Source organism: Homo sapiens, chromosome 9 (assembly GCF_000001405.40).
Source record: "Homo sapiens chromosome 9, GRCh38.p14 Primary Assembly".
In the NCBI taxonomy this organism is placed as follows: domain Eukaryota; kingdom Metazoa; phylum Chordata; class Mammalia; order Primates; family Hominidae; genus Homo; species Homo sapiens.
In genome coordinates, this window is record NC_000009.12 from 89,443,358 (window position 1) to 89,459,215 (window position 15,858).

The window sequence follows — 15,858 nt, forward strand, 5'->3', positions numbered from 1 at the left end:
GTCTCCAGCCACCTTCCCACGGGGCCTGGCTGCCCTGTCCACCTTCTCACTGACCTCGAAGCGGGTGTACCACGGTCCTGTTGTCCCTGCAGAGTGGAGCCTTCAGCTGTCTGACAGAAAATGAGCCCTCCCAGTAAAGCACAGCGTGGACTCCACCCGCCCATAATAGCCACCCGGGAAGCAGGTCCGGCCAGCAGCAGCCGCCAGAGGAGGATCTGCCTGGGGTAGGCGGGTGGCGGACGGCCCTGGCCCTGCAGCGCTCAGCTGCACCCCACCCCATGCCTGCCTCCGAGCTGGTGGCCAGGACCTGGCTGCCTCCTGTCCTGGCTGTGAGTCCTGTATGGGCTGGCACCTGAAACTCTCTACCCTCCCTCCACAGCATGGGTGGGGCTGGGGTCACCAGTGGGTAACTGCAGGCCCTGACCTCCTGGGCTCCCTGCATAGGTGTGGCCTGCCCTGCTAAAGCAGTGCCACAGAAGATGGGGCACAGAGAGCATTTGGAGACTGCGAGGTGCCAGCTGCCAGAGGTGCCTGGGCATGGGCATCCTCAGGGGCCCAGAGTCAGGCAGCCCTGGGCCAGGCACAGGCACCTAAGCTGCAGTGACACGGTCACCCCACTGCATGCCCATGCATCCTCCCACCACGGGCAGAGTCAGGGCACTCATGCCCAAAGGAAATCCAAGCAGTGGGTGGGTCCCTGACACGAAGGGTTCTCTTTTCACTGCTCCCCCCATAATAAACCTGCTTTACATTTATTGTCCTAGACACCTTGCCTTTTAGAAATTATACCTACCTACCATAGACATAATTCTGCGTCCACCTGGTGGTCTCTGTTTTCCTGCTTCACCTTGGCCTCCCTCCCCACCTCCATGGCCTCCTCCCTGGCTGCCCCTCTAGCACAGCTACAGTGTACCCACCCTTATCATGCTCTGCCCAGGAGTCATAAGGAGAAACACAGGCAAACACATACAGGCATACACAGGAGCACTCCTGCCATCACGGCTCACAAAGCACGTCATCACACACACAGCACATGAGGGGACTCCTCCCAGCTATCAGCACTTGCTCTGCAGCCGCTACTGACGGGATGTGGGCACGTGAAGAGACAAGCAGGCCAGCGAGTGGGATGGAGGATCCCCAGACGGAACCCAGTTTACATGAGACCCTAACAGACCACAGAGCTGTCATTCAATTCATTGGTCAAAGGACGGATTATTGACTAATTAGTGCTGGCACACTGGAAGGAAACAAAATTGCCCTCCCCCACCCCAAGCATATTATTTCATGTTAAAAGCATTCTAGACACGTTCAAGAGTTTAATTCAAACACACAAAACAAGAAAACTCCTGCCAGAAAATCCTCAGACAACCCATGTAATCTTCTTAACAAACGCTGGTACCCACGAGCCCTAAGAGAAAAGAGACATATTCGACCATAAAATGAGTTAATCTGGACAGCAAATGATACATTAATAAAAGAAACTGGCAAAGAAAAGAATTAGGAATAAACGTTTTCCAAGCAGAAGAAAGAAGATCAATATCTATAACAAATCCAGAGCTCCTACAGATTGGCAAAAGAGGGCTGAACATCCCGACAGAACAGGGTCACAACACACAACAGGCGATTCACAGAAGATCCAAACGGCCACAGAATATCCAACAAGGATGCGACACTCACCAGGATCTGGGGTGACACCATCAAGGCCACAAAGCTGTCACTCTGCCCTTGAAGACTGACAAGTCAGTTTATAGTGTTTCATGCCACCGCCGAAAGAAGGTGCTGGAACAGGGAGCTCCCTGTGCTCACAGGGAAAGGATGAACTGTTGGATCTTTTCAGAAACGGATCCTGCAAGATCTATTACAAGGAAGAGACACACGCTCTTTGGACCGTGAGTGCTGCTCCCTGAAACCCATGCACTGAATGACAGCTCCAGAGCATGGCCAGGGTATTCACGGAAGCACTGTTTACACTGCCTGTATGGTTTTCAGGCAGCAGCTCTCACCAGTGACCACAAACTGGGTGGCTTACAACAACAGAAGTGTATTCCCTCACAGTTCTGCAGGACAGAATTCTGAGATCAGTTTCACTGACCAAAATCAGGGTGTCAGCAGGACCATGCTCGCTCTGGAGGCCCCAGGGGAGACTCCCTTCCTGGCCTCTTCCAGTTTCTGGTGGCAGCAGCGTTCCTTGCTTTGTGGTTCTTTGGTTAGTCAGGGTTCTCCAGAGAAGCAGAACCAATAGGATGTGCACAGGGAGAGAGAGAGATTTATTATGTGCTCGGCTCACGTGATTATGGATCTGTCATCCACAAGCTGGAGACCCTGTGAAGCTTCCATTCACAGGCAGTCAGACAGCCGAAGTCCCCTCTGACTTGGGAAGCCGGGTCTTTTTGTTCTATTAAGGCCTTCGACAGATTGGGTGAGGCCAACTCACTCTGGGGAGGGCCACCTCCTACCCCACCTTCTACTTTGCACGCCATACCCAGGCCTCAGGCGGGTTCCCTACCCATGCTCCCAGCCTCTGCGTCCACCTCAGAGGTCTCTGCAGGCTCAGCTGGAGGTGCCATGCAGGACAAGCACTGCACCCCCAGCAGGAGATGAGACGAGACCCTCATGTCCCGGACCCCCTCCCTTCCAGGCCCTGCCATGTGTTCTATCCCTGCAGGTCTGTCCATCCTGCTTCCCAGGCAACAGCTTTCCTTAGTCTACCGATTCTCATGTCAACCTCACCCAGGAACACCCACACAGACACCCAGAATAGCACCTGACCACTTATCTGGGCACCCGAGGCCCAGCCCAATTGGCAGATAAAATCCACCCCACACCCACCACTACTCTAGCCTCTGTGCCCTCTGTGCCCGATCTCCCTCTGCTGCCTCTGAGAAGAACACTTGTGAGTGCATTTGGGGCCCACCAGATAGTCCAGAATCATCTCCCCACCTCAAGATCCTCAACTTAGTCCCAGCTGCAGACTCTAACTCTATATAAAGTCACCCTCTCAGGCTCCAAGGGTTAGAACCTGGTATTTTCGGGGGCCATCATTTGGCCTACCACAAGGGGCAAAACCAAAGAACAAAAAAAACCCTGAGACTGACTGAGTGGCTCTGAACAGGGCCTGCTCCAAGGCCATGACCCCACCCAGCCCAACATGGGCTAAAGAAAACAAGAAACACCATCCCGTCTCCATGATAAGCACCACGGGGCCTCTCTCGGGCCACCAAGGAGGGCAGAGAGGGGAGGCTGCCTCCCAGGACTTCTCCAGGGCTCCGAGGCTCCCTGCACAAAGGATCAGCCGCTTCCCACTTCCCCTCAGCAGGGGTGTGGGCCATCCTGGACCCTGGTGGCCACACCTTCTAAAACAAGGCAGCAGCAGGAGGAGACTGAGGCATGAAAGGGGGGTTATGTGCCAGGCACACTGGCGGGGGAGGACAGTGACTCCCCTCAGGACGTGCCTTCCACTCCCCACACCACGCTGCACCCAGGCCTCAGGCGGGCTCCCTGCCCACACTGTGTCCAGCTCGGAGGACTCGAAGTCTCAGCTGGGCGTGCCCCTGTGGGATAGGTGCTGCCCCCAAAGACTGCAGGAGATAAGAGGAGACCCTCAATTCTCCAGATGCCTTCCCTTCCAAATCCTGCCATGTGTCCTATCCTTGTGGATCTGTCCATCTCATCTCCCAGGCCCAGACCATCTCTCCCACCGCAGCCCAGCAGCCAGTCCGAACCCCGACCCTCCCTCGCCCGCTGCCTATCGGTCCTTCCAATCTCGATGGAGGCACCCAAAAGTTTGTCTCTCCTTGTGACCCTTGCAGGCCAGCATGGAACAGGAGCAGGTTCAGACATGTCTCTACCTGACAGCAAAGGAGCAAGGGCATTCTGAGGGGGCCTGCCCTGGGAGACCTCCATATCCCCGGCTCCAGTCAGGACTAACCCTTGGGCTAGTCCTCAGATGTTTCCTCAACTCCAGGCTTAGGTACCCCACAGCCTCCTCCCCACTAATAAGCACCTCAAGCTTCCTGTGTCCCCAAACCACGCTCCTCACCTCCCCAAAGCTGAGATGCCTCCGAGACAGCCCAGGTGGAAGCCCACTTGGAGCCTAAGTCTTTCCAATGGCTCAGGCCAAAATCCAGGGTGTTCTGTGCTCCCCGACCCCCACCATGACCCACCCCAGATCCAAGCTGGCAGCAAGTCCTCTGGGTCCACCTTCAAATAAGCGCTGAAGGGAGCCACTCCTCATCGACATTGCTGCACCGTGCCCACACCAGCACCGCTCTCCCAGACCACCTCACAGCCTAACCGGGTGCCCGACACCCCCACAATGGCCCATTTTCCCCAGAAGCCAGGGGTCTTCCCCAACCCCTCAAACTCCCCCACCCACCACCTCCTCTCCTACCCCTACCCTTCCTGACTCTGCCTCAGCCCACTGCCCCCCACCACCACTTCAGTGCTCCCTGGACACCCAAGACTTGCTCCTATCTGTCTCAGGGCCTTTGCTCCTTTGTTCCCCATGCATACGGTGCTCCTCCCCAGGCACAGGCATGGCGCCAGCCTTGGCTCCATCAATCAGCCCAGCTCCCCTTGTAGAACCCGTCTCATCTCCTTCTCTGCTTTATGTATTTATTTATTTGTATTTTATTTTTATGTATTTATTTGCATAGGGTCTTGCTCTGTCACCCACGCTGGGGTACAAGCTCACTGCAGCCTTGAATACCTGGCCTTAAGTCACACTCCCACCTCAGCCTCCTGAGCAGCTGGGACTACAGGTGCATTTCACCATGCCTGGCTGATTTTCTATATTTTTATAGAGATGAGGGTCTCACTATGTTGCCCAGGCTGGTCTCAAACTCCTGGCCTCAAGTGATCCTCCCATCTCGGCCTATCAAAGTGCTGGGATTTACAAGAGTAAGCCATTGCCCCTGGCATCTTTTTCCGCTTTATTTCTCCCCCTTGTAACTCCAGTCATACCTGACCTATTGATCTCCTTTGGGGTCTGTCTACCCCAACAGTAAATACTATTTCCTCTGCTGATGCCCCACTGCCCAGGCATAAGGGACCCAGGGCAGGAGCTCAGTGAACTGTGCATGACAGGCCATGGAGGACCCACCCTCCCCTGGGCGATGTGGGATAGAGACAGGGAGGCAAGGTATGCCTACCCAGACCAGCCGGGCTGCCCCAGCACCAGGAACAGGCTGCCGTGGGGGCCACAGCCCGCCTACACTCTGAGGAACAGCGATCCACACAACGGCAGCAGAGAAGGCGTAAAACCACGAGGCCTCTGCACATAGATGAGAATGTGTCAGACGCACCCAGAAAGCTATTCAATGAAAGGGCTTGTTTCACGGGCTTCACTGGCGGGCATGACAGCATTGCCCACATGTTCACTCTCTGCAAAGAAAAATGGGCCATTTTGAGGGATATAAATAGCCCGGCCAGATGTGGAAGTGCCTGAGGGGCTTTTCCCAGGACTCCAGCGTGTGTCCTGCAGCTGCATAGATAGCAGCCCCTCAGTGGGACCCCAGGGGTGGCCAAAGCAAGTGAAGGTCAGGGCCTGAAAGGGTTACGTGGGGACCCTCCTCCCACGGGAAGGCAGGATGGGGCTCATCACAAACCATCACTGACCTGCAGGCTGAGCACGCCCATTGATGCATTCAGGGTACAGCTGGGACATGGAAAATCAGTGGCAAATACACTGTGTAAGTCTTACCCACAGAAAACAAGGGAGACACAAGCCCGGATAGCACGGGGCCTTTTGGGGAGGGGTATGCTCACTGAAAGCACAGGCCCGGGAGCCCGGCAGATGTACAATCTCAGTGGTGAAACCTGGCTATTTGCTAAGGCCCAGCAGGCTATTTTGTAATTGTCTGCAAAAATGCAAAATAATAGCACTTAAAGCTGGCTAAAAACACTCTCAAAGCCTGATACGGTTGTTACAAGTCACTAGCTCCCAACTACAGAGGCGGGGCCTGAGCAGGAGAGGAAGTCAAATCCAAGGGCACCAAAGAGCAGTTTAGATCCTACACCTACCAGGCGAGCCACAGGTATAATTTCAGATGCTCTTAGAAGTCACGCTAAAAGACTAAGTTCGCGGCTTTCGCTGGCCCTCTCCTCGAGGATCGAGGGAGCTCTGACCACAGCCTGTGGCTGGGAAGGGAGGCAGAGGGGCGGCTCAGGGGAAACGAGGCTGCAGTGGTGGTGGCAGGAAGATGTCAGGCAAAGACGAGCAGCAGGAGCAAACTATCGCCGAGGACCTGGTCGTGACCAACTATAAGATGGGGGGGTGACATTGCCAATGGGGTACTTCGGTCCTTGGTGGACGCATCTAGCTCAGGTGTGTCAGTACTGAGCCTGTGTGAGAAAGGTGATGCCGTGATTATGCAAGAAACAGGGAAAATCTTCAAGAAAGAAAAAGAGATGAAGAAACGTATTGCTTTTCCCACCAGCATTTTGGTAAATAACTGTGTATGTCACTTCTCCCCTTTGAAGAGAGACCAGGATTATATTCTCAAGGAAGGTGACTTGGTAAAAATTGACCTTGGGGTCCATGTGAATGGCTTCATCACTAATGTAGCTCGTACTTTTCTGACTGATGTAGCTCAGGGGACCCAAGTAACAGGGAGGAAAGCAGATGTTATTAAGGCAGCTCACCGTTGTGCTGAAGCTGCCCCATGCCTGGTCACACCTGGAAATCAGAACACACAAGTGACAGAAGCCTGGAACAAAGTTGCCCACTTATTTAACTGCATGCCAATAGAAGGTATGCTGTCACACCAGCTGAAGCAGCATGTCATCGATGGAGAAAAAACCATTACCCAGATTCCCACAGACAAGCAGAAGAAGGACCATGAAAAAGCTGAATTTGAGGTACATGAAGTATATGCTGTGGATGTTCTCATCAGCTCAGGAAAGGGCAAGACCAAGGATGCAGGAGAGAGAACCACTATGTACAAATGAGACCCCTCCAAACAGTATGGACTGAAAATGAAAACTTGACATGCCTTCTTCAGTGACATGAAAAGGCGTTTTGATGCCATGCCATTTACTTCAAGAGCATGTGAAGATGAGAAGAAGGCTTGGATGGGTGTGGTGGAGTGCGCCAAACATGAAATGCTGCAACCATTTAATGTTCTCTATGAGAAGGAGGGTGAATTTGTTGCCCAGTTTAAATTTACAGTTCTGCTCCTGCCCAATGGCCCCATGCAGATAACCAGTGGTCCCTTCCAGCCTGACCTCTATAAGTCTGAGATGAAGGTCCAGGATGCAGAGCTAAAGACCCTCCTCCAGAGTTCTGCAAGTCGAAAAACCCAGGAAAAAAAAAAAAAAAAAAAAAAAAAAAGGCCTCCAAGACTGCAGAGAATGCCACCAGTGGGGAAACATTAGAAGAAAATGAAGCTGGGGACCAAGGTGGGTCCCATCTCCCCAGCTTGCTGCTCCTGCCTCATCCCCTTCCCACCACACCCTAGACTCTGTGAAGTGCAGTTCTTCTCCACCTAGGACTGCCAGCAGAGTGGGGGTGTCCCTGCCGCCACCCCAGTTTTGCAACCCACTCCCTTCCAACAACAACCAGCTCCATCTGACTCTGGTCTTGGGAGGCGAGGCTTCCCAACCACAGAAGACTTTAATTGAACAAAAGAAATTAAATAATAAAATCAGGAGTCAAAATTCATTGTCTTCAAGCCCCTCTTCCTAGCCTTTTCTTCTACTCTCTGCTTGGTCAAGGTTTGTAACCCTACGATAGAACAGGGCTAAATTAGCCACCACCACTGAAAACTCAGCCGAATTTTTTTATACCATTCTGATGTTAGCATTTTTCCATCTATTTGGGGGCTTTTTCTTCTTTTTCCATTCTCCCCAAGTATTTTATCTGGCTTCAAAATTAGGAGGATTATTTTTCAGATAGTTTTTATTCGGTGTGGCCGACTCCTCATCTGATTCAGGCTGTCAGTCAGGCCCCTCCCATTTTAGGAGCTGGAGCCTTCACTTATGAAGCAATTCCCATCTATGAAATGGATCCTCATTTGTCAATCTTTTTTCTTCCATTTTCACAAAGCTATAAAGAAATAATCCATCTCAACCTTACCCTTTTCTCTGGAGTCAATGGGGTCTTCCCTCACTCCATCTTACACAAACCTGAGCTGGAAGCTCAACTGGATTTGTTCCCTGTTTGAAATATTGTGATCTCCCTCCCTTGAAAGAAAAACGAAGAACCAGAGGAGTAGACTGACTGAAGATAAAACTCCTGGCTTTCTGAAGCTATGGATTTGGATTGGATTGCTGGGACTTTGTAGAGAAAGGTGACAAATTTCAGTACCTCCGGCATGCTGTCCCAGGAAACTAGGGCTCCCACTAACTTATGAGGTTTTTAAACACATTGAAAATGAAATGACATTAAAATAAATTTGGATTTGCTCATTTAAAAAAAAAAGACTAAGTTTGCTTTAGTAATATATTTTATCTAACCCAATACACATCCAAAATACAATCCTTCTGCATGTCATGCACGCAGGTCATGAACAAGGTAGTGCATCTTGCCTTCTGTGGGCAAACTCTTTGTAACTGCTCAAGGCATCTCGGCTCTGATCAGCACACTTCTGGTGCTCTGTATCAGGTGTGGTGTCCAGCTAGGATACTAAGCAGGGATCCTATGAGGCATAAGGAGGCAGTACCACCGACACAGCCACTGATAGGAGGAGGTGCTATGGATCTGAGTGTGTTGAGGGTGTGGAAGCTTCTGGTTACTATAAATGAACCCTTGGCCACCGGCCCCTCCTGTGTGCCAGAGGCAGCTGGATGGTGCTAGTACCCTCTATGTCCTGTCTTGGTTTTTTTTGTTTTTTTTTTTTTTGAGATGGAGTCTCGCTCTGTCACCCAGGCTGGAGTGCAGTGGCGCAATCTCGGCTCACTGCAAGCTCTGCCTCCCAGGTTCACGCCATTCTCCTGCCTCAGCCTCCCAAGCAGCTGGGACTATAGGCGCCCACCACAATGCCCGGCTAATTTTTTGTATTTTTAGTAGAGACGAGGTTTCACCGTGTTAGCCAGGATGGTCTCAATCTCCTGACCTCGTGATCCGCCAGCCCCGGCCTCCCAAAGTGCTGGGATTACAGGTGTGAGCCACCGCACCCAGCCTTTTCACTCTGTCGCCTAGGCTGGAGTGCAATGGTGCGATCTCAGCTCACTGCAACCTCCGCCTCCTGGCTTCAAGCGATTCTCCTATCTCAGCCTCCAGAGTGGCTGGGATTACAGGCATGAGCCACCACGCCCGGCTAATTTTTGTATTTTGAGTAGAGATGGGGGTTTCACCAATTTGGCCACATTGGTCTTGAACTCCCCACCTCAGATGATCTACCCACCTCGGCCTCCCAAAGTGCTGGGATTATATGCGTGAGCCACCACGCCAGGTGTCCCGTCCTGTTAAAGCAGCTTTGGGATGCACGGCTTGACCATGCTTCCTCTGAAGTGACCTGCTGCACTGTCTCTAGACTGCATGGCTTATCTCCAAAGCCAGGCTTCAGAGAGGAAAGCTCACATTGTTCATCATTAGTCAGAGTAATGCACAGGACCCTGAGTGCCCATCAGGGATGGGATCTTGGGTGTTTTCCAGGTAACAGCCTCACAGGGCTGCAGCAGAGGACCTGGGACACCCTCCTGGGCCTCCTGAAACATGCAGAAGTAATTACCTCCCCTTTCAGTGTCATTTAATTAAATCTACAGTCTTCCTGCTCTCAACTCTGTGAGACGTGGAACTGTATCTGCTAAAAATAAAGCCCAGCTCCTATGAACAGGGCTCCATCCCAGTGCAGGTGAAGCAGCCCTGCCTCCAAGCAGTGGGGCACACTCAGACCCTAGGGAGGCTGGGCAGCACCCACACAGTGCACTTTATAAAGACTACAGGGTTGTTGTAAATTAAGAAGGAAGAGCTTAAATGCAGGCGGTATCAAAACAACCACCAAACTCAAAGGAATTCACTTTCTGCACTCAACTCCCCATAAGCACATGCAAGTGTAAGAGTTTGGGTCTAAGAAATCACACGCAAGACACAGCATTGTATCCTGTGGCTCTCTGGCTCCCCCAGACAGATGTCCAAGCCAACCTGTGCTCCTTTCTCTGAGGACGCAGAGCCCTTTGCTGCCTGTCTTATCCTATGCTTCTAGGGGAAGCTGCTGGAAGGCGATGGCCCCCAGGCCGTGTTTCCAGCCACGTCCAACAGGCCTGCAGTAGAGACCCCAGTACCCCAGACCAATCTAAGCCAGGCCTCCCAGAACCATCTGGTCGCGGCCCTCGCTGGGTGGACACACAGCCCTGACGGTCAGGTTCCTGTGGTGGCCGTGCTGTCTCCAGGACTCAGCATCACAGGGCCTGGCCCACAGTGGCACCGGGAACCACAATGCCTGCTTTGTCCCCACACAAAGGCTGGCAAAGCACCTTATATGGGCCACTTCACGCTGGGAAAAGTCCCTTAAAAGTTATTTTTGCTTCTACTTCAACCCAAGTTGTAGAATATATGTCTTTTTTTTTTTTTTTTTTGAGATGGAGTCTTGCTCTGTCGCCCAGGCTGGAGTGCAGTGGCGCGATCTTGGCTCACTGCAAGCTCAGCCTCCCGGGTTCACGCCATTCTCCTGCCTCAGCCTCCTGAGTAGCTGGGACTACAGGCGCCCGCCACCACGCCTGGCTAATTTTTTGTATTTTTAGTAGAGACAGGGTTTCACCACGTTAGCCAGGATGGTCTCGATAGAATATATGACTTAATCTTCAGTATGTCCTTTGCAAATGGTCTTGTGTATGCAGACTATCTATGATGTGAAAGCTGCATCCAGGAAGATCCCAGCCTGGGCAAGACCAGGAGGGCCAAGGCACCCCTGAGGCAGTAGGAGTCACAACCCGGCTTTCTAAAGGGGATGCAAGGACTTACATATCCTGCCTCTTACAGCTAAAGTCACATCTTGAAACGCCTTCTAACACAGACACACCTGCATCAACCTTTAATCCATGTCTCCAGGAGTGGCCACAGAAGGTGGTGTGGACGTGGCTGAGGCTCCCCTAGCTTGGTGTGGCTGACATGGTCAGCCCCCCCCAGATTTTCACTCCCTCCTCTATTTCCACACCAGATCTAGCAGGAGTGGACCTTGGGGGCCTTGGACAGGTGGGCCCTCCACCAAATCAAACAGAGCAGCTTCTTCTGATGACCTCTTCTCTTCTGGTTCCATCCAAGCACGTAAACAAGCCGGAAACGAGAGACCTGCATAGGTGGCTGCTGGCCGAAGACGGTCCCTCCTGGGGCTACCGAGGGCACTTCCCACACCCAGTGAGAGTGTCAAACCGCAGTGGGTGTCCCACGGTGACGGCAGGGTGTGAGGGCAGCATTCTGCACAGGGTGAGTCCCCCAGAGCCTACAATCCTGCACAGCACAAGGACATGTCCCATGCCAGCCCAGGCCACCCTCGGGGTGGCGAAGAGACACAGCCATGCCACAGCACTCCCAGCCCCCAGCTGACCCAGTGGGGCCCTGGCACAGGACTCTGCCCAGGCGTGTGCCTAGCACGGGTGAGGAAGCCCCGCCCCTCGAGGAAGCTGCCCCGGGTGGCTCTGCCTCTTCACATTTACAGAGAAGGAAACTGAACCCATGAAGTGACGGGCCAGCCCATGGCCCAGCAGCCCTGCAGGGCAGGCAGCCCGATCCCAACAGTTGGGAGGGGGTGGGGACAGGGCCAGAGAAAACGGGTAGCCTGGGTCATAGCCTACAACAATATCACTTCATCACGCTGTGCCTCCATGGCCTCATCCATGACAGGGAGGGCCCAGTGCCCTTTGGGGCTGCCATGACATGCGGACTCGCACCCACATGCTGTCTGTGACAGGGCCCGTGTGGCCTGATGCTCTGAAATTTCAGACAACAAGCAGCCCCTTCGTCCACTCTGCACACTTGAAAGGCAGGGGTGGGAGCAAAGGTGTGGCAGCCCAGGGGGCTGTCCCCGGTCCACCTCACCCCAGCCCAAGCCACTGCCTTTGCCAGACCTCCCTGAACACGGGGCATGGGGGGTGTGAGTTAGTGGACAGAAGAGAAGCAACTGCCCACCAGATCCCGAAGACCCCTAGGGTCGGGTGAAAGACCACCTTCAACAACCCAATATGAACTCCTAGGCGCACCAGTCCTCAGGGGACAGTCCAGGCAGGGGCACCTCCTCAACTGGGGCCCTTCCCTTCCTGCCGGGGAAGCTGGTGCTGAGGCTGGGTACTGGGCTCACCACCAAACAAGCCACACTCAGCATTGCCTCGCTCATTGCCTCCCCTGCCCCACCCACTCTGACTTCCTCTATATCCACATCCCCTAAACCGACCCTTACCACTCCAGGCAGAACCACCTGAGCTTTCAGAGACAGGCCTTCCTCCCTCACTTTCCAGACACCTGCCTGGCAGGTCACACAGTGAATGGGCATCGCTGCTGACTGAGGAATGGAACACCGGGACAAGACCTTCTGAAAAGCCAGTTCCAAAAGGAACCATGGCTCTCAGGCAGACGCCGAGACGCCGACACTTACCAAACCATCAGTGTCGTCAAACATTTCAGCACATGGTTTCTTTCCACTATCTGGTGTTAGCAGAGTCTGAAACAGAGTTAGAAAAGGGCACATTTTAGCAGGATAAACTACCAGATTCCCTTACAATATACATACACACAATTCCATACCCCAACCCTGTGCGAAAAATGTCCCCCAGGGACTGCAAGAGCATCGTCCTAGAGAACTGTCAGTTACAGGATACAGCTTACCTGGCCACGTGAGACCAGAGGAGGCATCACAGCTAACAGACAAGGATTATCAAGAACTGGGAGGGAGGCATCATCTGCACCTTCCTTCACCCTACCCATCTCTCTCCTCCCCTCTGCTCCTGGCCAGGCACCAACTTAGCAGAGAGCCTCTCCTTGGCTCAGCACACAATCACTAGGCGTGAGCTCTAGTGCAGGAGGCAGCCAGGGTGGGCCAAGGCCTAACCCAGAAACCCTGTGACCCACAATGAAGGTGTAGTCAAGAAGGACACTGTAGTACAAAGCTCCAAAACAGTCCCTAATTTAAAATCACATATGAAGACAATGTCAGTGCTAGCATTCAATATTCCAACACTTTTTAAGTTTTAAAATTAATTACATACTCAAAAACCAAAATCAGGAGAAGAAGGGGAGGAGAAGGAGGGCAAGGAAGAGAGAGAGAAGAAAAGAAGAATCCAAACAGGAACCAGAATTTGGGAGAGTTTTTCTTTTTGAGACAGTCTGTCTCCAGGCTGGAGCGCAGCGGCACGATCTCAGCTCACTGTAACCTCCACCTCCCAGGTTCAAGCAATTCTGCTGCCGCTGCCTCAGCCTCCTGAGTAGCTGAGCTTAAAGGCACATGCCACCACACCCGGCTGATTTTTGTATCTTTTTTAGTAGAGACGGGGTTTCACCATGTTAACCAGGCTGGTCTTGAACTCCTGACCTAAAGTGATCTGCCCGCCTTGGCCCTAAGTGCTGGGATTACAGGCATGAGCCACCGCGTCCAGCTGGGAGGGATTTTTTTAAATAATGTCAGAAGTAGCGGAAGGCTTACTAATGCCCCTGCATTAAGGAGAAACATGAATCAACACTCTGAGAAAATGCAAAGGGCTCCTTCCTTCCTCACTGGCCTCCTGGAGCAGGGAGTGAGCATCGCAAAGTCCCCTCCCACAAGGCACAGAGCCGCAAATGGCAACTGAAGGGAAAAGCTGTTCGATGTCATTAACGATGAAAGAAACAAACTGAAGCAGGATGGTCGCTTTCATCTTTCTGATGAGCAGTAACCTACAAAGCTGAGCAACCAGAGCCTGTGATGGGGTGGAGCAACCAGAGCCTGTGATGGGGTGGGGAAACCAGCGCCTGACAGGTGGGGAGCAGACCCAGTGCACCTGACTGTGACGCTCGGGATGCTGCTGAATCACATTCCAATTGGACACAAAGCTACACCATGAGGGTGCTTCCTGCATCGTAGCAAAGCCATGGAAACCTTCCAAGTCCATCAGTGGCTGACCAGAATCAAATAAATGGTCTATCCAAACACTGAAGTGTATGCACCCATCACAAAGAACAAGGAGGTCAGCTGGGCACAGTGGTTCACGCCTGTAATCCCAGCACTTTGGGAGGCCGACATGGGAGGATCGCTTGGGCCCAGAAGTTCAAGACCAGCCTGGACAACACAGTGAGACCCCATCTCTACAAAACAAAGTTAGCCAGGCATGGTGACACATGCCTGTAGTCCCGGCTACTCGAGAAGCTGAGGTGGGAGGATTGCTTGAGCCCAGGTTGTCAAGCAGTGAGCTATGACTGTGCCACTGCACTCCAGCCTGTGCATCAGAGTGAGGCCCTGTCTCAAAAAAGCAAATAAACAAAAAACAGGCCAGGCACGGTGGCTCATGCCTGTAATCCCAGCCCTTTGGGAGGCCGAAGGTGGGTGGATCACTAGTTAGGAGATCGAGACCATCCTAGCTAACACGGTGAAACCCCATCTCTACTAAAAATACAAAAAATTAGCCAGGCATGGTGGTACACGCCTGTAGTCCCAGCTACTTGGGAGGCTGAGACAGGAGAATCACTAGAACCCAGGAGCCGGAGGTTGCAGTGAGCCAAGATCGTGCCACTGCACTCCAGCCTGGTCGATAGAGCGAGACTGGGTCTCAAACAAACAAACAACAAACAACAAAAAACAAACCCTGAGGAGGTGACCTTGTGTGGAAAGGGAACTGCCCAAGACAGAATAAAAAGGCAGGCTGTGGAGGGGAGCCAGGGCAAGCCCACCACTCCACGGTGGCCTTACGTATGCATGTGAGTGGCTGCGCAGGAAACACAGGCTTTTGGGAGGACAGTCCAGAGAGTAGTAACAGGTTTTTCGTGCTGTGGAGTGGCCTGGGGATCCGAAGGCAACTTGGTCCCTGCATTTCTGAGCTTCCGTATTAGGGCTGTTTTTACCCTGCACACTGCAACCGATACATACCACAGTTGCCCACATAGCACCGCCCCTTTTCTTTAGTGGAAACTACAAATTCCACATGGTGCATACATCCTACGGAAGGCCAACCCATGGCTGGTCACACAGTTCCCTTCCTGGGCCCACCTAAAAGACTGCCTGCCACACACATGCCACACACATGCCACAAACATGCATCACATGCATGCATACATGCACACACCCATCCAAGCAGACACACACCCACCCACACTTACATGCACACACGTATACACCTATGCACACAGGTACACCACACCCACATACCCATGTAAGCACACATGTATATTCACATACAAAATCACACACAAACCTACAGAGACACACATACATACACATGCACATATATACATCCAAACACGCACATCCATACACACTCATGCACACACACACATATACATATATGCACATACAAACATGCATGCCATATTCACATACACACTTATACACCTAAACACACACTCATACACACACGGATACATATGCCCACATGGATACACATACACACAAACACATGCACAAACATATGTACCTATACGCACACTCATATACAGATATACTGCACACACCCACATGTACTCATATACACATCTACCTACACACATGTGCCTACACACATATGCATACTCATACACACACTGTGCATGGTCCTTATCCTCTCCCCAAGGGAGCTGCAGCCCAGCATTCCCACCCACTCACACGCTGGGGAAAGAATCACCTCCTTCCTCCTCAGCAGCTCAGAGGCAGGTTCTGAGCCATCGCAGCCTCCTAGAGACCCCATGTGCCTGTGGTCAGTGGTTCTCATACTGCGGCCTGCAGCAGAACCCCTGGCAAGGATCTGAATGCCAGATCTCTG

At 52.5% G+C, this 15,858-nt stretch overlaps 1 protein-coding gene and 1 pseudogene across 45 annotated transcripts in view, besides 3 other annotated features; one reads left to right on the plus strand and one right to left on the minus strand.

Moving 5' to 3' along the window:
* Positions 1–15,858, minus strand: part of SEMA4D (semaphorin 4D) — a 137,327-nt gene that overhangs the window by 82,571 nt on the left and 38,898 nt on the right. For 43 of the 45 annotated variants that reach the window (NR_163886.1, NR_163889.1, NR_163884.1 and 40 more), the window contains one exon: positions 12,531–12,596. The gene's annotated coding sequence lies outside the window, so the exon portion shown is untranslated. Of the gene's footprint in view, positions 1–54; positions 1,924–12,530; positions 12,597–15,858 lie in introns of those variants that run through there. The other 2 variants (XM_047422613.1, XM_047422612.1) reach the window with 1 other exon arrangement.
* Positions 2,298–2,467: an enhancer, noted in NCBI's record as "experimental_108605 CRE fragment used in MPRA reporter constructs". NCBI's record gives its function as "activates a minimal promoter by MPRAs in K562 erythroleukemia cells, with activity observed for both the introgressed and non-introgressed 9:92060655 variant alleles {active_cell/tissue: K562}" and the evidence as "EXISTENCE:reporter gene assay evidence [ECO:0000049][PMID:34662402]".
* Positions 3,456–4,066: an enhancer, noted in NCBI's record as "H3K27ac-H3K4me1 hESC enhancer chr9:92061728-92062338 (GRCh37/hg19 assembly coordinates)". NCBI's record gives its function as "activates a minimal SCP1, AML or CMV promoter by ChIP-STARR-seq in naive H9 embryonic stem cells {active_cell/tissue: H9 hESC(naive)}" and the evidence as "EXISTENCE:reporter gene assay evidence [ECO:0000049][PMID:30033119]".
* Positions 5,773–6,621: an enhancer, noted in NCBI's record as "H3K27ac-H3K4me1 hESC enhancer chr9:92064045-92064893 (GRCh37/hg19 assembly coordinates)". NCBI's record gives its function as "activates a minimal SCP1, AML or CMV promoter by ChIP-STARR-seq in primed H9 embryonic stem cells {active_cell/tissue: H9 hESC(primed)}" and the evidence as "EXISTENCE:reporter gene assay evidence [ECO:0000049][PMID:30033119]".
* On the plus strand, positions 6,080–8,407 carry PA2G4P6 (proliferation-associated 2G4 pseudogene 6; annotated as a pseudogene).